The following is a 20,114-nucleotide window of genomic DNA, read 5'->3' as shown; positions in this document are numbered from 1 at the left end:
TCTCCGTGGAAGAGCAGGGGCAGCGTGGGAGGCGCCAAGGGAGCGCGAACCTGAGGAGGAAGAAACGGGGCTAGCGCGCAGGCCCAGAACGGTCCGAGCCGCGGCAGTCGGCGACGCCTCAGAGCGGAAGAGGGAAGTGAATCAGGCGCCGGGTAGTGGGTTGCTGGGCTGGGCTTGCTGAGGTAGAGGCAGCGCCAAGAAGAGGCCTTTGCCGCTGGTCGGGATTGGGATGTCGAAGAACACAGTGTCGTCGGCCCGCTTCCGGAAGGTGGACGTGGATGAATATGACGAGAACAAGTTCGTGGACGAAGAAGATGGGGGCGACGGCCAGGCCGGGCCCGACGAGGGCGAGGTGGACTCCTGCCTGCGGCAATATCCTTGCATTCACCGCCCTCCCCACCCCAGCCCAGCCCAGCCCGCCCTTCTCCTGGGACCCGGGAGCCTGCAGGATCCGCGGGGCACCGGCGCGGAGCTGCCCTCTCAACCTGCGGCTTAACCTGTCTCTTTGGGATCGCCCGCTCTGAGAGGGCAAGGGGGAAGCCCCCGTTTCCTACCCAGTCGGCAGGAGACGCGAGGGTCCCACTCTTGGAAGCCTGCCCTCCCCCGCGCGCCTTCCACGCCCCCAGATTCCTCAGGTTGCACCCGAGTGCCTGCCTGCCTCGGGAACTGGTCCCGCCGGCCGCGCCCTCGCGGCGCTGGGGAAGGCGGCCCCGGCTGGTGGGGAAGGCTGGTGCCGAGCGCCTTAGTTTTTCTTCCTAGAACTCTGATTTCCTGGGGTCACATTAGCTCCAGAAATTTCTGATTGTGGGGAACCTGCATCTTTCCTTAGTGGTTTTGTTTTTTGTTGTGTTTTTGTTATTGGTAGCGTTAAGGTAGTTTATTCCTTACCGGGGGGCGGGGGGAGATGGGACTGTTCGAAAATTGAGGGTCCCTGTGCTTTCAGCCCATTGGCCTTTTTAAAAAAAAAAAAAAAAGAAGAAGAAGAAGGGGATTTGGCAAAATATACATTGTACAGAATTTGTTAACTGGGGGAGGGGAATGAATACAAAAAATACAAAACTCCTAGAAGGAAGCTTGGAGCCTTTTACCTGCTAAGAAAAGGACAATAGAAAAAACAACGGGGAATGCGTGTGGAGAATCCTTGGAAATATTTAAAATAAACCCCAATGAATAAGATAGAAGATGAGTCATTCGTATAAAGCAGAATCATTTTTGTAATCCTAAAATTGTTTCCATTTTAGTTAAAATATGGCAGTCAGTTCCCGGTTTCTGTTTTTGCATATTTGAATATTCATAACTTTGGCTTCGCATTTGCATTACATCTTTTTTAGAAAAATGTAAATGTTGCAAAAAAACCGAAGCTGTAGTTTTAGAAAATCTCAGACACTGAATTTGTATGCATTTCTAATTCTTGGGTGTATTCATAAGGAAGACTCTCAACAATGTCCTGTTATAGTGGGGAAATATGAGAGTGAAAATATTTAATGGCAACAATATCCTTTTTTAAAGGCACCTAAATAGAGCATTAGACATTTATCAATATATAGATAGTGCTTTGCCACAACTTTCACAATTAATTAGCTGTTGCTCTTTTGCATTATTTAAATACTTAAGTGCTTGGAGTTATAAAAAATGAGCTAATCTACATCAGGCATGCTTCTCTAGAAATCCCTGCAGCCTTGAAAATAACAGCTTGTCAACCAGAGATTTTGTGTAAGAACTTTTTCTTTAGAAAATAAATGGTGAACATGCTTCCTAAAAACATTATTTGTGATGGATAGATGGTGTTTTATGAAACCCCAGTGTATTTTAGGTAATTTGTGGTGACTTTTAAATGGTACTGCTGTATCCATATCAGTGGATCTGCTTTTTGATCAGTTCATCTTAAAATATAAAGATACTGTCTCTTCTTACCGTTACATACAGCCAGGAAAGACAGCCCTAGTGGTGGGGTACTAGAGTTGGAGGAACAAGTGAACTCTGTGGTTTTCCTTTTAGGGGAATGTTTGTACATTCTGACAGTCTGATTGGCCTTCTGTTTCTCATGCTTGCTAACTCACTAGTGCTTTCAAAGAGAGCCTGAATTTAATAGGTATGGTCTAACACAGTTTGAATAACCTTTGTGAAATATGAGAGAAAATATCTAAAGCAAAAAATTAAGCTGCCACCTAAGGGACATATGAATTATTACATCTTCTGTGATGCCTCTTTTCATCAATATTGAGAGATTGCTAATGTGTATCATTCAGATTGCTAATCTGCCAGCATGTTCTACCAGCATTTCAGATAATACAGAATATGGTTCTAGCAAAAGTTTGGTCTTTATTTTTTCAATTAGAATCACAGGAAAAGACATATTTTGGTTGATAATAGGTTATTTCATTTGGGGGACTAATAATTCTGATATATATTTTAGGATTTCTTTAACACCACTCTAGGTAATGTTTGCATATGTATCTCACTGGGAAATGAAAGACTATCAAGGTGTTCACTTGATAGTTAGAACCAAGGGTGAAACAGTCTTTGCTTTATTAAAAAAAAGTCTAATGTTCTATTTTGCTTTTGATATTTTGCCTTTGATTAACATCCTGGAAACCAACACATTGAATTTCCAGTATTGAACATAGTGACCAAAGTAATTTTCTTTTTATATGTAAATCAAGTCATAAGAACCAGTGGTTATAATGCTTTCCTGGGGGCCATCCTTTGCTGTTACACCCTTAACTTCCATCACAGGAAACATGACAGCTGCCCTACAGGCAGCTCTGAAGAACCCCCCTATCAACACCAAGAGTCAGGCAGTGAAGGTGAGTCGCAGACTACAACACAGTGATCTCTGCTGATATCTTATTCTTAGTAAAATCCTCTGCAGTTGCAAAAAAAAATCAATATTTTAACTGTTTGCTATCTTTGACATAGAAGAGTTTATAATGTAGTTTGATAGGTAAAAATTTCACGTGAAAAAATAGCCCTATAATGTAGTTATGATAATGCTGCATGGTAAGATACAGTAAGTTCAAACGATAGTGAAATCATTTGTGTGTGTTTTTAGAGGAGACCACTCAGGCTGAATTTGAGCAAAGGTTTGAAAAATAAGTTAAACCTTTACAAAAATAAACAGATTGTAATTGCTTTTTAAAGATTTTTTAAAACCATACAAATACTAAATACTTATTATAGAAAGCTCAGACATATGAGAAGGTTAAAAAGATAGTGGTTTGTGGTCCCAGCACCCAGAGATAACAGTTACTACTTTGGGGCCTTGCTGTATTGTTACAGAGTTCCCTTTTGTTTTTTTAAGAATGAAATTTTATAACGTGCTTTTTCAGCTATATGCAATGTACATGAGCTTTCCTTCGCAATAAGTTTATAGCATTTTTAACACTTGTATATGGATAAGCTGCAGTGTATACATAACTAATCTTTTGTTATATATTTAGACTGACTTTTTTTTTCCTATTGTAAACCACTGAAATCAATATTTTTTGGTAAATTTTTAATTGTTCTCTTTGAGTAAATTGCTAGCAGTGAATTACTGGATCAAAGAATGCACTTTTTTTTAAGGCTTTTGGTATGCAGTATTGCCAAATTGCCCTTCAGAACAGTTGTGCAACTTACATTCTCTGCAGTCTTTTACTAATTCTTAACCTATTTACGTATTTATTTAAAATGATGCCCATAGCATCAACCCCGTTGTCCATAGCTATTCATACATCCTAGGAGCTTCAAGAATCTCAATTGAATAGTAGTAAGTAATAACTTAGGTAAATGCATAATAATTATCTAGGTAACATAATTTTTTATTGGGGAAAATTTCTTTGGTTTTTACAAGTTGTAAAGATTGTCGTTGAAATTTCATTTTTACCGTGGATGCAAAGATATTTTTCTAAATCTGGTAATTGCAGTCTTTAAACCAAAGATAACAGTAGGTGGTAGAAACATTCTGTGAAATCCTGACCAGTAGGAATGCTGGAGGTATCACTTTGTGTTGAATGGAAGGAGAAACGAATTGTTGAAAAGGTCAGTTAAGTGTTTCCTTTGCTTGGCCGGATGGGTAAGAAAATAACTGCTTTTGAAGCAGGCTTTTGCCAAAGAAAAAAGATCATTATTAATGAACATCACTATATTTCATATCTACAGTCAATTCATATAAATTACAGTCAATTTTCTTTTAAGACAGCTTGGTTTATTAAAATTTTTAAATAAAAAAGTTTTTAAGAAAAAATTACTTCTGAAGGATAATTCAAGGTGAAACTGCAAATCTGCCTCCTTGTTTTGTTGGGAATTTTTTTTTTTTTTTTTTTTTTTTGAGACGGAGTCTCACTCTATCACCCAGGTTGGAGTGCAGTGGTGCAATCTCAACTCACTGCACCCTCCGCCTCCCGGGTTTAAGCAATCCTCCTGCTTCAGCCTCCCGAGTAGCTGGGATCACAGGCACACACCACCATGCCTGGATAATTTCTGTATTTTTAGTAGAGACAGGGTTTTACCATTTTGGCCAGGCTGGTCTCGAACTCCTGACCTCAGGTGATCTGCCCATCTCGGCCTCCCAAAGTGCTGGGATTACAGCTGTGGGCCACCACACCCGGCCGTTTTGTTGGGATTTTTTTTTTTTAAGATCAAGACATAAATTTAAATGTTGTTTTAATAAATTGTTAAATTATCACATTGATCTGTTAGCAAATCCTCTCAGCTCTGCCTTCAATTATGTTAATAGTCTGTCTAGTTTCTTACCACCTCCACTGCTACTATGCTTACCACATCCAGCCTGTATTATTGCAATTGCCTCCTAATTGCTCTCCCTGCTTCTACCTTATCCCCTACTCCCACAGCTTATTTTCTGTAACATAGATGCCAAAGCAATCCTGTTAAAATGTGAGTCAGATTATGGCACTGCTCTTAAAACCTTCCAATGTCTTCTCATTTCTCTCAGTAAAAGCCAAACTCCTTACAATGCCTGTAGGCCTTACACGATCTGTCCTCCCATAACCTCTGACTTACTCACGTGCTTTTCTCCCACCAATCCACTCCAACCACATTGGGTTTTTTTCTGTTCCTGGAACACACTGAACACACACTAATAGCACTGTTCTTTCCTCTGTCTGAAACACTTTCCTCAGTTATCCCAAGCCTTCTTTCACGTCCTTCAGGTCCTTACTCAAATGTCACATTCATAGTGTAGACTTTCTGAAATTCTAAACCCTCCTCATACAGATATGTCTAAATGTTCTGTTATTTATTGACCCACCAGGACCGGGCAGGCAGCATTGTCTTGAAGGTGCTCATCTCTTTTAAAGCTAATGATATAGAAAAGGCAGTTCAATCTCTGGACAAGAATGGTGTGGATCTCCTAATGAAGTATATTTATAAAGGATTTGAGAGCCCGTCTGACAATAGCAGTGCTATGTTACTGCAATGGCATGAAAAGGTAAGTTATGAATTATAAATCTATATGACTGGTTCTTTTACAATAGGGAATGACAATGACAACCTCTCTCACCTAAATAACCATTTTGATTTGTTGTACATTTTTGTTATTACAAATAAAATGCATGAAAAGGATAGTTCATATTTATGTTTACTAGCCTTGGTCTTAAGAGATTCTGATTCCAACACTTGTGTTTATTCAACAATGATTATTAGTAATTAAACATAATCTTGAACTCTGAATTAAATCAAAACTTTGTAAAAGAAAATAAGCAATACAAATCAAGAATTCTTTCACAGTGACCAAAAGGTGAAAACAACACAAGGATCATAACAGATGAACAGCTAAATTGTGGTACATACATACAATGGAATATGATTCAACCATTAAAAGGAATGACATTCTGACACATGCTATAACATTAATAAACCTTGAAAACATACCAAGTGAAATGAGCCAAACACAAAAGAACTAATATTTTATAATTTTACTTATATGAAATAATCTAGGATAGGCAAACACAAAGGGACAGAAAGTCCTTAGAGGTTACTAGGAAGTAGGGAAAGCAAGGAATAGGGAGTTAGTGCTTAATAGGTACAGAGTTCCTCCTTGGAGTGGTAAAAAAGTTTTGGAAACAGATAGTGGTGATGGCTACAGTACATTGTGAATATAATTAATGCCAATGGATTTTACACTTAAAGATGGTTAAAATGGCAAATTTTGTGTTAGATATTTTACAACTTTTTTAAAGAATTAGGAGTTTGGAGGATCAAGAATTCTTAAATCATGTTTTTCTATTTTCATGTGTATATTTTGCAATGTAAGTAGATGCTGGTACATCATCTGTCAAAAGAGTATAAGTGATTTTGAGCTTTGGGTAAAAAACTGGATAACATGTAAATAGAACCAGTCATAAAAATATTGAGTGTTTGAAGTGTATCTGAGTGAAAACACAAACATAAGAAAAAAGCACATAGTAAAACAATAGTTCCCCCTTTTACTCTAAAATGCACCAATTTGGGTAGTAATTTATATGGCACCCTATTCATGGAACACTTTCTGTTGCCAGGTACCATACTATTAATGTTTTATTTAACCTTTACAACAACCCTGTGAAGTATATAAATATCTTTATCATCCTCAATTTACAGATGAAAAGCTAGCTTTAAAACCCAAGCAGCGTAGTTCTAGCATAGCCTCAAGATTGCAGTGAACATTGATTACTTATTATATTCCACATATTCTTCAAAGGACTTTATAAATATTAACTCATTTAATCCTCATAAAAATGGAGGGAAATGCTTGCTATTATTCCTCTTTTGTCACTGAGGAAACTGAGGCATGTGTGAAGTCTTCATTTCTTCCAAATGTCAGTCACCAGTTTTTACCAATCTTCGAAGTATTTCTGAAATCTATCTGTTCAAGCGTATCTAATGCAGCTGTTCACAGCATCTCTCCCAGTCTGTTGCCATAGCTTCCTGACTGGTTTCCCAGTTAACAGTTTTGCCTCCTTCAAATCTGTTCTCCACCCAGCCATCAAAATGATATCTTTAAAATCAAAATTGCCCTTGTCAGTCACCTGCAGGATAAAGTCAAAGTTCCCAAGTCTAGCTTCATCTTCCATGTCATTCTTCCCCTCAGGCTATAGCAATGCCAGCCTTTTTCCTGAATGCACCATATTGTTTCACACCTCCATACATTTGCTCATGATTTTCTGGTGTTAGCCTGTCACCTACTCATTCTTTTAATGTGTCATTTCCTCCATGAAGCCTTAGCTGAAACATTCCTCTATACTGTTAATCTGGGTATAAGCCTCTCCCTGGTGCTTTAATAGCACCTGCAGCACAACTCTCATTTCATACATTAGATTAAAATTACCTGTTTATATGTCTGTCTCCTCATGCTAGACCAGAAAATGCTGTATTTGTTCACTTTTGTATCCCCAGCATCTAGCACAGTACTCAGTATACAAAGGTATTCCATAAATATTTTTTGAACAGAAAGAAACCAGAGCTCAGATTCCTAATACTTGATCATTACTCTCTATTTTTCAAATTAGAGTCAGAGTTAAAGTTTCTAAGTTCTTAGCTATTAAACAATACCTTCTTTCTTTGGGAGAAAAAAAATCTGACAAAGGCTGACTAATCGAAGTGGAAGTTGGGATGGTTGATCCCAGTTTGAATTTTCTTCTGACTATGTGGTGAGAATGAGAAATGCAGAATGTCCACCTGTTTTGAGCAGGAACACTATGCTGCAGATTTTTTTTTTTTTTTTTTTTTTTTTTTTTTGAGACGGAGTCTTGCTCTGTCGCCCAGGCTGGAGTGCAGTGGCGCAATCTCGGCTCACTGCAAGCTCCGCCTCCTGGGTTCACACCATTGTCCTGCCTCAGCCTCCCGAGTAGCTGGGACTACAGGCACCCGCCACCACGCCCGGCTAATTTTTTGTATTTTTAGTAGAGACGGGGTTTCACCATGTTAGCCAGGATGGTCTTGATCTCCTGACCTCGTGATCCGCCGGCCTCGGCCTCCCAAAGTGCTGGGATTACAGGCGTGAGCCACCGCGCCCGGCCTATGCTGCAGATTTTTTAAAACATTATTTAGAATTAATGTACTAAAATGTAAACTAGTATCTCACTAGAATGTAACTTCATGAGGGCAGGGACTTTCAAGGTTTTGTTTATTACTGTAACCTCAGTGCCAAGAACAGTACCTGGTGCATAATTGGTGCTCAAGAATTTATTATTTGTTAACTAATAAATTCAGGGTCTATAGCAGTGCCCATTCCTTCTTTAAGAAAAATGTTTTACCAAATATGAGAATTGACCTTTTATTATTCTGTCAACATTTACATCTTGGTTTGTTTTTAGGCACTTGCTGCTGGAGGAGTAGGGTCCATTGTTCGTGTCTTGACTGCAAGAAAAACTGTGTAGTCTGGCAGGAAGTGGATTATCTGCCTCGGGAGTGGGAATTGCTGGTACAAAGACCAAAACAACCAAATGCCACCGCTGCCCTGTGGGTAGCATCTGTTTCTCTCAGCTTTGCCTTCTTGCTTTTTCATATCTGTAAAGAAAAAAATTACATATCAGTTGTCCTTTAATGAAAATTGGGATAATATAGAAGAAATTGTGTTAAAATAGAAGTGTTTCATCCTTTCAAAACCATTTCAGTGATGTTTATACCAATCTGTATATAGTATAATTTACATTCAAGTTTAATTGTGCAACTTTTAACCCCTGTTGGCTGGTTTTTTGTTCTGTTTTGTTTTGTATTATTTTTAACTAATACTGAGAGATTTGGTCAGAATTTGAGGCCAGTTTCCTAGCTCATTGCTAGTCAGGAAATGATATTTATAAAAAATATGAGAGACTGGCAGCTATTAACATTGCAAAACTGGACCATATTTCCCTTATTTAATAAGCAAAATATGTTTTTGGAATAAGTGGTGGGTGAATACCACTGCTAAGTTATAGCTTTGTTTTTGCTTGCCTCCTGATTATCTGTACTGTGGGTTTAAGTATGCTACTTTCTCTCAGCATCCAATAATCATGGCCCCTCAATTTATTTGTGGTCACCCAGGGTTCAGAGCAAGAAGTCTTGCTTTATACAAATGTATCCATAAAATATCAGAGCTTGTTGGGCATGAACATCAAACTTTTGTTCCACTAATATGGCTCTGTTTGGAAAAAACTGCAAATCAGAAAGAATGATTTGCAGAAAGAAAGAAAAACTATGGTGTAATTTAAACTCTGGGCAGCCTCTGAATGAAATGCTACTTTCTTTAGAAATATAATAGCTGCCTTAGACATTATGAGGTATACAACTAGTATTTAAGATACCATTTAATATGCCCCGTAAATGTCTTCAGTGTTCTTCAGGGTAGTTGGGATCTCAAAAGATTTGGTTCAGATCCAAACAAATACACATTCTGTGTTTTAGCTCAGTGTTTTCTAAAAAAAGAAACTGCCACACAGCAAAAAATTGTTTACTTTGTTGGACAAACCAAATCAGTTCTCAAAAAATGACCGGTGCTTATAAAAAGTTATAAATATCGAGTAGCTCTAAAACAAACCACCTGACCAAGAGGGAAGTGAGCTTGTGCTTAGTATTTACATTGGATGCCAGTTTTGTAATCACTGACTTATGTGCAAACTGGTGCAGAAATTCTATAAACTCTTTGCTGTTTTTGATACCTGCTTTTTGTTTCATTTTGTTTTGTTTTGTAAAAATGATAAAACTTCAGAAAATAAAATGTCAGTGTTGAATAATTTATTTTTCTCTGACTTTAACAATTATGAATGTATGGTTAATTAAGAGGAAAGGTTTTCTGCTTCTACCACCAAGTACTGTACTCTTAACAAGAACAGTTTGGTAGGGTTTTTATAAGACTATATAGATATAAGATGATAGAGAAGAGAGTCATGAATGATGTCAGAGCACTACTGAAGCCTTTGGAGTGATTCCATAGCCTTCTGGATGGCAGCTGAATACCTATATGTAGTATCACTGCCCAAAGACCTAGACTAGAAAGTGCAAAGTAGCTTAGCAGCTGCAGTCATTCACTCCCAGCCTCCAAAATTCTCTTTCTTTCACCTCAAATCTATTTCTTGTACTTACCTACTCACAGCGACTTCTGTTTGCTTTCGATCTTCACCTGACTAGATTCCCACTTTAAAACACTTCCAGGCAATTCAGGGTCCTATGGGTGAAGATAAGCTAAGCAATAGGTATTATTCTTAAATATTACTTAGAGATGGGGACTTGCTATGCTGCCCAGGCTGGAGTGCAGTGGCTGTTCACAGGTGTGATCATAGTGCACTGAGGCCTCAAACTCCTGGCTTCAAGCAGTCCTGCCTCAGCCTCCCGAAAAGGTGGAACTACAGGCACATGCCACTGTGCCTTAGCCAATAGGTATTAGAGGTAGTCAAGTAGGTATAGCATAACCAATTACAAACTTTAAAATCAAATGATACTGAATGCTTTTTCATAAAATCCTTCTTAACATCACTTTCATAACTGAAGCGTTTGGAAAAATTCTGGAGTTCATATTTGTTCACAAGAATGGGTGGGTGTATTTAGAATCTGCCAGTCTATCAGCTTTACTGAGGGGAGATACTAAAAATATTTAACAAGTAGTATAATATAGAGACCGAGTCAAAATGGATACTAGCTGGAAACAACTGGTTCAACTGTTGCCTCCTGACTAAATGTCAGCCCAGGGTATAGTAACCATGACACAGTACTATCCTTGGTGAAGAGTTGGGAATAGGATTAATTGCGGAAAAAATATATATAAATGCCATAGGACACTTTTAGCACAAAAGTAGTTGTTTACCTCCCATTCTCCTCCTTTAATCTCAGTGCTTTTACTATTTGGTTTCTTTTTTGGCATTTTACAAAAGGGAAGAAATGGAAAACATACCCCTTCTTGGTCATTGGGTAACAGCACCATTTCGGTAACAGTCATACTTGATGACAAGTATGATGATATTTTAAGGACATGAACATGGGTGAAATCAATGTGTAGATGGTACAAATTAACCGAATTCTTTTTAAAGCATTTCCTGTGGATCCCAGGATCATGAGGACATAACAGAAGAATAAGGTCTGAATCTTGTTCACCAGTTTGCTCTCAGCCTAATTGGGAAGTAAGGTTAAGCACCTGAAAATTATGTCATACAAAAAAAAAGAGAATTAACGTCATACAATTTAGCATTTGACTGTAAATGCAGTTAGTCAATGTTGGGAGAACAACAAAATCAGGGTGGATCAGAGTATTTAAAGTGAGACATTAATTTGAACTAATCCTTTGGAGGGGCAGAAAGGACAAACGGTCCAAGTGAAATGAACAGAGTAGAAAGAGAAAGTTAAAAGTGGGTTTAATAGTCACTGTTCTTGCAGTTTTAATGTTTTTTGTTTTGTTTTGTTTTGTTTTGTTTTGTTTTGTTTTTTTTGAGACAGAGTCTCGCTCTGTGGCCCAGGCGGGAGTGCAGTGGCGCGATCTCGGCTCACTGCAAGCTCTGCCTCCTGGGTTCACGCCATTCTCCTGCCTCAGCCTCCCAAGTAGCTGGGACTACAGGCGCCCGCCACCACGCCCGGCTAATTTTTTGTATTTTTAGTAGAGACGGGGTTTCATTCACCGTGTTAGCCAGGATGGTCTCGATCTCCTGACCTCGTGATCCGCCCACCTCGGCCTCCCAAAGTGCTGGGATTACATGCGTGAGCCACCGCGCCCAGCTGCAGTTTTAATGTTTTTAACATAAGAATTCTAGATGGTGCAAATTATTAACAGGATCAGAAACTATCTCCGTGATAGATTCAAGAAAGTAAAATTATAGGAAATCATAATGTTTTATTAGCTGAAATAGACATTGATGATCACTTAGTTTAACCCCATGTATAAAGGTAAAAAAGAAAATTAATTAATTAATTTTTTTTTTTTGAGATGGAGTCTTGCTCTGTTGCTCAGGCTGGAGTGCAATGGCACAATCTCGGCTCACTGCAGCCTCCACCTCCCAGGCTCAAGCGATTCTCCTGCCTCAGCCTCCTGAGTAGCTCGGATTACAGGCACGCATCACCGTGCCCAGCTAATTTTTGTATTTTTAGGAGAGATGGGGTTTCACCATGTTGCCCAGGCTGGTCTTGAACTCCTGACCTCAGGTGATCCACCCTCCTCCGCCTCCCAAAGCACTGGGATTACAGGCGTGACCACCGCGCCCAGCCAGATTGATTAATTTTTAGATACACAATTTTTCCTTTAGATTTACAACTAACATCCCCTTACAGACAAAATATGTTAAAAGCACCAAAATAATTGAAAAACACACCCAATTAAGGAACAGACCAACGGCCTCTGTAGAACCAAGTGCCCTTAAACAAGGCTGCTTCTGTCCATATTCCTGCCGCGGGACCTCTGCCCCACTCCCTCTCCCCCTCACCCCAATGTCACTAGTACAATATGTGAAAACCCCAATGTGAAAACGTTCTGTGCAGGTGCCTCTTGTATGATTCCAGATATGGAGGAGGCCCGGGAAGCCCACAGAGGTACAGCATGTCATCTGCCTCAAGGTGGTGCTACTTCACCACATTGATGATCCAACCACAAGCAACATGGGACACAGCATTCACTTTAACATTTCTATTTTCCTTTATCATTTCTGTTACTTGAGTGTGTAAGAGTAATCAACATAAATAATCTATGTTTACATCTCTTATTTCTCTCTGAAACAGTTCCCTAGAATCCACACCACATGAAACACAAATTGAGTAGTGTATGACCCACCTGAATTCCAAAGCATTCTAAAACTCCCGTATTTTCCAGCCTAGCAGTTAGCTCCTGCTCTGCAAGACACACCCTCTTGACCTTGCTGCTAGACTGTATGGGCCCCCTGAAGTCATAGTAGCTGGCTCTTACTCATCCCCACATTCACTTGGCATAGTTGATGTTCAACAAATATCTCTTGGTTGCATAACATTGAACGAGCCAAGTCACCTAAGAAATCCTTAATTTATACACAGGTTCTTAGGGTACCTGAATAGGGCAACACATCAGAAGTACAAATTGAGAACTATACAAAGAGTAAAATAATTCTTGGGTTCAAATACCCTAGAGCCAATCAAGTTTAGTCACAAAGAATTTCAATTCACTTCAATGTGGACAGTTAAGAAGGGAATTTATCAGCCTTAGGTGGAAATCAGAGCCACCATGAGTACCACGTGCAGCCCCTATAGTGTTTAGCTTTGCCAGAAGTCACCAGAGAAAGTGGCTGAGGAACAGAATTCCAGCTCATATCTGGCTAACAGTGGCACTATGGGAGTTTATATGATCTGTTCATTATTCTGTGGCATCACCTTCTAAGAGCAGAGATGTGACCCAATACCCCTTGTTTTCCTTAAAGATAACCATTAAATTATATCCATGAATTTATATCACCGTCCTTGACTTTATACGTAGATTTTTCTAATTCTGTCAACCCTTAGGGTAATGAATAACTTAAATGGCCAATGCCTCTGAATAACATCATACTTCCTTTTGTTTCTCCAAAAATTGAATCAAGATGCCAGGGCAACTAAGATTTTCTTCAATTTGCTAAGTTAAAGGTCAGTGTATTCATTAGCCAATGGTTCTGTATTTTATTCATTTTAGTTTTTATTCGTTTTCAAATAATTTGTTCATATTGTTCAATATTCAAAAGGTAAGAAATATGTACTGTGGTAATTTTCCATTCCACCCTAGTTCCTCTTTTGACAACCAACTATTGTCACTTAATTCTTAGGCATCCTTCCAGATACAGTGTATGCATTTACAGGCAAATACCTATATAAGATTTTACCCCTTTGTGTACATAAATACTAACATACTATATATAGTGTTCTGTTCCTTGCTTTTTTCATTAACAGTATATTTTGGTGGTAATTTCCTATCAATACATAAAGAACTTCCTTATTCCCTTCAGAGGCATTTGAACCAGAGCAATTCCTTCTTGAATAGAAGCTGGGTAAAATAAGGCTGAGACCTACTGGGCTGCATTCCCAGATGGTTAAGGCATTCTAAGTCACAGGATGAGATAGGAGGTCAACACAAGATACCGGTCATAAAGACCTTGCTGATAAAACAGTTTGCAGTAAAGAAGCTGGCCAAAACCCACCAAATCCAAGATGGCAATGAAAGTGACCTCTGCCTCTGGCCATCCTCACCGCTACGCTCCCACCGGCACCATGACAGTTTACAAATGCCATGGCAACATCAGGAAGTTATCCTATATGGTCTAAAAAGGGGAGGCATGAATAATACACCCCTTGTTTAGCATATCATCAAGAAATAACCGTTAAAATGGGCAACCAGCAGCCCTCGGGGCTGCTCTGCCTATGGAGTAGCCATTCTTTATTCCTTTACTTTCTTAATAAACTTGCTTTAACTTTACAGACTGGCCTTGAATTCTTTCTTGTGTGAGATCCAAGAACGCTCACTTGGGGTCTGGATTGGGACCACTTTCCGATAACAATTTTATTTTTATGACTGCATAATAATTCTATTATATAAATAAATGTACCATAATTTACTTAACCATTTCCCTATTGATTTAGGTGGTTTCTGATCTTTTGCAGTTACAAACAGTGCTACAGTGAATAGCATTATACACAAGTCATTTTACATATGTTCAAGCCTATTTGTAGATCAATTCCTAAAAGTGAAAGTTAAGGTCAGTTGGAGGGCATTTAAGGGAGATATTGCTAAATTGCCTTTCTTAAAGGTTTTATCAATTATACTTTCTCCAGCCGTGTAGAAGAATGCATGTTTTCCCACCCCTTTACCTATTCTATGTGTTTGTCATAAAACATTTTTTAATCTTTTCAAATCTGATGTTTTAAAAATGGTATCATATATTTGCATTTCTCTTAATGTAAATGAGATTGCACATCTTTTCACATGCCTAATAGCCAGTTGTATTTTCTTTTCTATATTTTTGTATTTCTATATTTTCTTTGCCCTTTTGATGGTCTTTTTCTTACTGATTTGTAGGAGCTCTTTTCAACAGGAATGTCAAATATTTCTTGCATTTTGAGTTTCGCTTTATAATAGCTTTTACTATAAATAAAAAGGTTATTTTTATTTTTATCTAATTGAGTTTATTAATCTTTTCTTATGGCATTTAGAGTTCAAGTCATACTTAGATTTTCCTGGCTCCAAAATTTAAAAATAGAAATTTCATGAAGTGTTCTTGGATGTTTTTATGATTTTAAATTTTAGTTTTTTTATTTTAAAATATTCATATTTTTCTTTTCAACAATTGCTGCTTCAAATGTAAACTAGAAGAGATTAGTTGGTCCCCATATGGAAGTCTTATCCTAATATATTGACTTGGTTGGTTTTCTCAGGACTTGAGGGTGTTTTCTTAAGACAAACTACCCAAAGTATTTCGCACGTGAAAGCACAGTTTCACTGTCATTCAGGCAAGTATTTACATGCTAAGGGCTGCTTAAAATATTTAAAATACAATCCTTATCCTGTGGGATCTAGATTCTAGGTAAGATACACAAGCAATGAATAAAATTCAATAGTAAACAAGCTATAATAGAGAAGAGAGTAAATTCATGTACAATAACAGATGGGGAGCAATTACTTCTCCAAGAGAGAATGTCAAGGAAAAGGTGTGAAAATGGGAGCATTTCAATGGGCCTTGAAGGCTATCTAAGAGTTTGGCAAATAGAAAACAGGAAGGGAATACCAAGCCGAGGAAACAACACGATTTCAGAATTCACACAATTAGTGAACATTCCAGAATCCTGTTCATTATTAGTATTAAATCAAGTTAATTAAGTGATACCATGTTACCACTAAGTTTGAAGACTGGTTCCAAATTTTCTGGGTCCTCAGATCAAAAGCAAAAGATTTCCTTAACTTTGATATAATACCCAGTGTTTATTCTAACGAGAGGGAAACCATCTGCTGCTGAGATACAGCTACTTATGAGTTTCATGTTATAGCTGTTGTCAGGCCAGGAAGTACATAGACAAAGTATATGCTGATTGATAGTGACTCTCTGGGGTGCTGTATTGAGTAGGACATGTTGGAGTTCAACAGGTAGGTGGACCATGAGAATTAGTGATGTCTGCCATGGGTTTTAGACATGTAGAATCACAACACATATTTTATTCCTGCTCTAAATGATATACAATATCTGCATTATTTGGCCCTGGCCTTTATCTACAGCCCCATCCCCAACTAAAAGTAGGACTGCCTCATAGCACAAGTCCAGGGGACACCATTCATGCCACACAGTTGTGCTGTAAGGGGTGCCGTTCATATGAAATCAGTATAAACCGGGCTTCTGGGAGCTGTAATAATATTGTTTAATACTGCATAAAGCTCTGCTTAACTTTTATATACCAGCCACTGAAAACTCATGCTTACATTTCTCTGCAGGTCTGCTCCATTCTTGCTTTTATCACCAATAATCAGTCTCCTCTGCTTTACCAGTAACATGACAAAACACTCCACCAGAAACCCCCTAAGTTTTCCATCATGATGTTCAGGCACCCAGACCAAAACTGACTTTTCTTTCTCAGTTCCACTTCCAGAGTCCCAGGTTTCATGCGCGTCCATGTGAAGAGACCACCAAACAGGCTTTGTGTGAGCAATAAAGCTGTTTATTTCACCTGGGTGCAGGTGGGCTGAGTCCAAAAAGAGAGTCAGTGAAGGGAAATAAGGGTGGGGCCGTTTTATAGGATTTGGGAAGGTAATGGAAAATTACAGTCAAAGGGGGTTGTTCTCTGGTGGGCAGGGGCGGGGGTCACAAGGTGCAGTGGGGGAGCTTCTGAGCCAGGAGAAGGAAATTCACAGGGTTAATCACTCAGTTAAGGTGGGGCAGGAACAAATCACAATGGTGGAATGTCATCAGTTAAGGCGGGGCAGGGCCTTTTCACTTCTTTTGTGATTCTTCAGTTACTTCAGGCCATCTGGGTGTATATGTGCAAGTCACAGGGGATGCGATGGCTTGGCTTGGGCTCAGAGGCCTGACGTTCCTGCCTTCTTATATTAATAAGAAAAATAAAACAAAATAGTGTTGAAGTGTCGGGGCAGTGAAAATTTTTGGGGGGTGGTATGGAGAGAGAATGGGCGATGTTTCTCAGGGCTGCTTCAAGCGGGATTAGGGGCGGTGTGGGAACCTAGAGTGGGAGAGATTAAGCTGAAGGGAGGTCTTGTGGTAAGGGGTGATATTGTGGGGTTGTTAGAAGAAACATTTGTCGTATAGAATGATTGGTGATGGCCTGGATACGGTTTTGTATGAATTGAAAAACTAAATGGAATAAGAGAAGGAGAAAAACAGGTATAAAAGGTCTAAGAATTGGGAGGACCTAGGACATCTGATTAGAGAGTGCCTAAGGACATTCAGCATAGTCCTGCCAGCAAAGATTATTTATTTACTTCAAGAGTTTAGAGTGGCAGTTTGGGGATAGCACCAGGAGATATCAGCTGTGATGGCTTGGAGAAACAGTGTAAACCGGCAGTGTAAACAAGAGCAGGGCATGTATGAGTAGTTGAGAATGGTGAATAGGAGTATGACTAGACAGAATATAGTAGGGATGACAAGTTTTTATGGGCACAGTCTAAGTTGGTCTGGTGTCGAATGAGACTGGGGCCTAATAAAAAGGAGCGTCTATACAGGAGCTTAAATGGGCTGTACCCTGTAGCATTCCGAGAACAGGCCTGAATTCTGAGAAGCGAAAGTGGTAAAAGTATTGTCCAGTCCTTTTTAAGTTGGTGGCTGAGCTTGGTGAGGTGTGTTTTTAAAAGACCTTTAGTCCATTCTACTTTTCTTGAAGACGGAGGACCGTAAGGGATATAAAGGTTTCACTGAATACTAAGAGCCTGAAAAACTGCTTGGCTGATTTGACTAATAAAGGCTGGTCTGTTATCAGGCTGTATAGAGGTGGGAAGGCTAAACTGAGGAATTATGTCTGACAGAAGGGAAGAAATGACTGCGGTGGCCTTCTCAGACCCTGTAGGAAAGGCCTTTACTTATTCAGTGAAAGTGTCTATTTAGACTAAGAGGTATTTTAGTCTCTTGACTCGGGCATGTTGAGTAAAGCTAATTTGCCAGTCCTGGGTGGGGGCAAATCCTCGAGCTTGATGTGTAGGGAAGGGAGGGGGCCTGAATAATCCCTGAGGAGTAGTAGAATAGCAGATGGAACACTGAGAAGTTATTTCCTTGAGGATAGATTTCCACGATGGAAAGGAAATGAGAGGTTCTAAGAGGCGGGCTAGTGGCTTGTACTATAGCATAACCTGCCTTTGCTGGTGTGCGGCGATTAGGCCTGGTGGAACTGCCATTAATAAATCAAGCATGATCAGGGTGAGGAACAGGAAAGAAGGAAATTTGGGGAAATGGGGTGAATATCAGGTGGATCAGAGAGATACAGTCATGGGGGTCAGGTGTGGTATCAGGAATAATGTGAGAGGCCAGATTGAAGTCCAGGCCAGGAAGAATGGTAATTGTGGGACTTAAAGAGTGAGTACAGCTGAAGGAGCCGGTGAGCAGAAAGTATATGCGTCAGGTATGAGGAAGAAAATAGATTTTGGAAGTTATGAGAACTGTAGAGAGTTAGTTGAGCATAGTTTGTGATTTTGAGAGCCTCTAAAAGTATTAAAGCAGTGGCAGCCGCTGCACGCAGACATGAGGGCTAGGCTAAAACAGTAAGGTCAAGTTGTTTGGACAGAAAGGCTACAGGGTGTGGTCCTGGCTCTTGTGTAAGAATTCTGACCGCGCTAACCATGCCTAGGAGGGAAAGGAGTTGTTTTGTAGAAGGTGCTGGGGTTTGAGAGATCAGTCGGATACGATTGGCAGGGAGAGCACGTGTGTTATTATGAGAATTATGCCGAGATAAGTAACAGATGAGGAAGAAATTTGGGCTTGATTAAAGTAATGGGGGCTGTCTGTGAAGCTTTGCGGCAGTACAGCCTGGGTCATTTGCTGAGCTTGATGGGTGTCAGGGTCAGTCCAAGTGAAAGCAAAGAGAGGCTGGGATTAAGGGTGCAAAGGAATAGTAAAGAAAGCATGTTTGAGATCCAGAACAGAATAATGGGTTGTAGAGGCAGGTATTGAGGATAGGAGAGTATATGGGTTTGGCACCACGGGGTGGATAGGCAAAACAATTTGGTTGATAAGGCGCAGATCCTGAACTAACTTGTAAGGCTTGTCTGGTTTTAGGACAGGTAAAATGGGGGAATTGTAAGGAGAGTTTATAGGCTTTAAAAGGCCATGCTGTAGCAGGCGAGTGATAACAGGCTTTAATCTTTTTAAAGCGTGCTGCGGGATGGGATATTGGTGTCGAGTGGGGTAAGGGTGATTAGGTTTTAATGAGATGGTAAGGGGTGCATGATCAGTCGCCAAGGAGGGAGTAGAGGTATCTTATACTTGTGGGTTAAGGTGGGGGGATACAAGAGGAGGACGCAAAGGAGGCTTTGGATTGGGAAGAAGGGCGGCAATGAGATATAGCTGTAGTCCAGGAATAGTCAGGGAAGCAGATAATTTAGTTAAGGTGTCTCAGCCTAATAAGGGAACTGGGCAGGTGGGGATAACTAAAAAGGAGTGCTTAAAAGAGTATTGTCTAAGTTGGCACCAGAGTTGGGGAGTTTTAAGAGGTTTAGAAGCCTGGCTGTCAATACCCACAACAGTTATGGAGGCAAGGGAAACAGGCCCTTGAAAAGAATGTAATGTGGAGCGGGTAGCCTCTGTATTGATTAAGAAGGGGACGGGCTTACCTTCCATTGTGAGAGTTACCTGAAGCTCGGCATCCGTGATGGTCTAGGGGGCTTCTGAGGCGATCGGGCAGTATCAGTCTTCAGCCGCTAAGCCGAGAAGATCTGGGAAGGAGTCAGTCAGAGAGCCTTGGGCCAGAGTTCCAGGGGCTCTGGGAGTGGCTGCCAGGTGAGTTGAACAGTCCGATTTTCAGTGGGGTCCTACACAGATGGGACGTGGCTTAGGAGGAATCCCGGGCTGAGGGCATTCCTTGGCCCAGTGGCCAGATTTCCGGCACGTGTAGCAAGCTCCTGGGGGAGGAGGTTCTGGAGGAAGGCCTGGCTGCTGCGGTTCAGGCGTTTGGAAGTTCTTGTGTGCTGGAGATGTGGCTGGGGTTTGTCTCACAGTGGAGGCAAGGAATTGCAACTTTTTTCTGTTATTGTACAC

General features: G+C 40.0%; 1 protein-coding gene across 2 annotated transcripts, besides 5 other annotated features; it reads left to right on the top strand.

Moving 5' to 3' along the window:
* On the top strand, positions 106 to 15,043 carry ARPC5 (actin related protein 2/3 complex subunit 5). Of its 2 annotated transcripts, none has more exons than NM_005717.4 (4): positions 106 to 372; positions 2,735 to 2,807; positions 5,252 to 5,428; positions 8,295 to 15,043. In NM_005717.4, exons 1-4 carry the CDS (start codon positions 230 to 232, stop codon positions 8,355 to 8,357), a joined length of 456 nt encoding a protein of 151 aa, NP_005708.1. In that variant the 5' UTR covers positions 106 to 229; the 3' UTR covers positions 8,358 to 15,043. The 2 variants fall into 2 exon arrangements, with proteins under 2 accessions (NP_005708.1, NP_001257368.1); NM_001270439.2 differs by having other exon boundaries at positions 2,726 to 2,807.
* Positions 133 to 412: an enhancer, noted in NCBI's record as "active region_2221". NCBI's record gives its function as "activates an Ori minimal core promoter by ATAC-STARR-seq in GM12878 lymphoblastoid cells {active_cell/tissue: GM12878}" and the evidence as "EXISTENCE:reporter gene assay evidence [ECO:0000049][PMID:35858748]".
* Positions 410 to 910: an enhancer, noted in NCBI's record as "H3K27ac hESC enhancer chr1:183604114-183604614 (GRCh37/hg19 assembly coordinates)". NCBI's record gives its function as "activates a minimal SCP1, AML or CMV promoter by ChIP-STARR-seq in primed H9 embryonic stem cells {active_cell/tissue: H9 hESC(primed)}" and the evidence as "EXISTENCE:reporter gene assay evidence [ECO:0000049][PMID:30033119]".
* Positions 463 to 512: a silencer, noted in NCBI's record as "silent region_1634". NCBI's record gives its function as "represses an Ori minimal core promoter by ATAC-STARR-seq in GM12878 lymphoblastoid cells {active_cell/tissue: GM12878}" and the evidence as "EXISTENCE:reporter gene assay evidence [ECO:0000049][PMID:35858748]".
* Positions 593 to 652: a silencer, noted in NCBI's record as "silent region_1633". NCBI's record gives its function as "represses an Ori minimal core promoter by ATAC-STARR-seq in GM12878 lymphoblastoid cells {active_cell/tissue: GM12878}" and the evidence as "EXISTENCE:reporter gene assay evidence [ECO:0000049][PMID:35858748]".
* Positions 604 to 822: a silencer, noted in NCBI's record as "fragment chr1:183604202-183604420 (GRCh37/hg19 assembly coordinates)". NCBI's record gives its function as "represses an EF-1alpha promoter that drives an FKBP-Casp9 reporter gene in an ReSE screen in K562 erythroleukemia cells {active_cell/tissue: K562}" and the evidence as "EXISTENCE:reporter gene assay evidence [ECO:0000049][PMID:32094911]".
* Positions 15,044 to 20,114: the final 5,071 nt, after the last annotated feature.

This window comes from Homo sapiens, chromosome 1 (assembly GCF_000001405.40).
Source record: "Homo sapiens chromosome 1, GRCh38.p14 Primary Assembly".
Taxonomy (NCBI): domain Eukaryota; kingdom Metazoa; phylum Chordata; class Mammalia; order Primates; family Hominidae; genus Homo; species Homo sapiens.
This window is presented reverse-complemented; position numbering and strand designations above follow the sequence as displayed.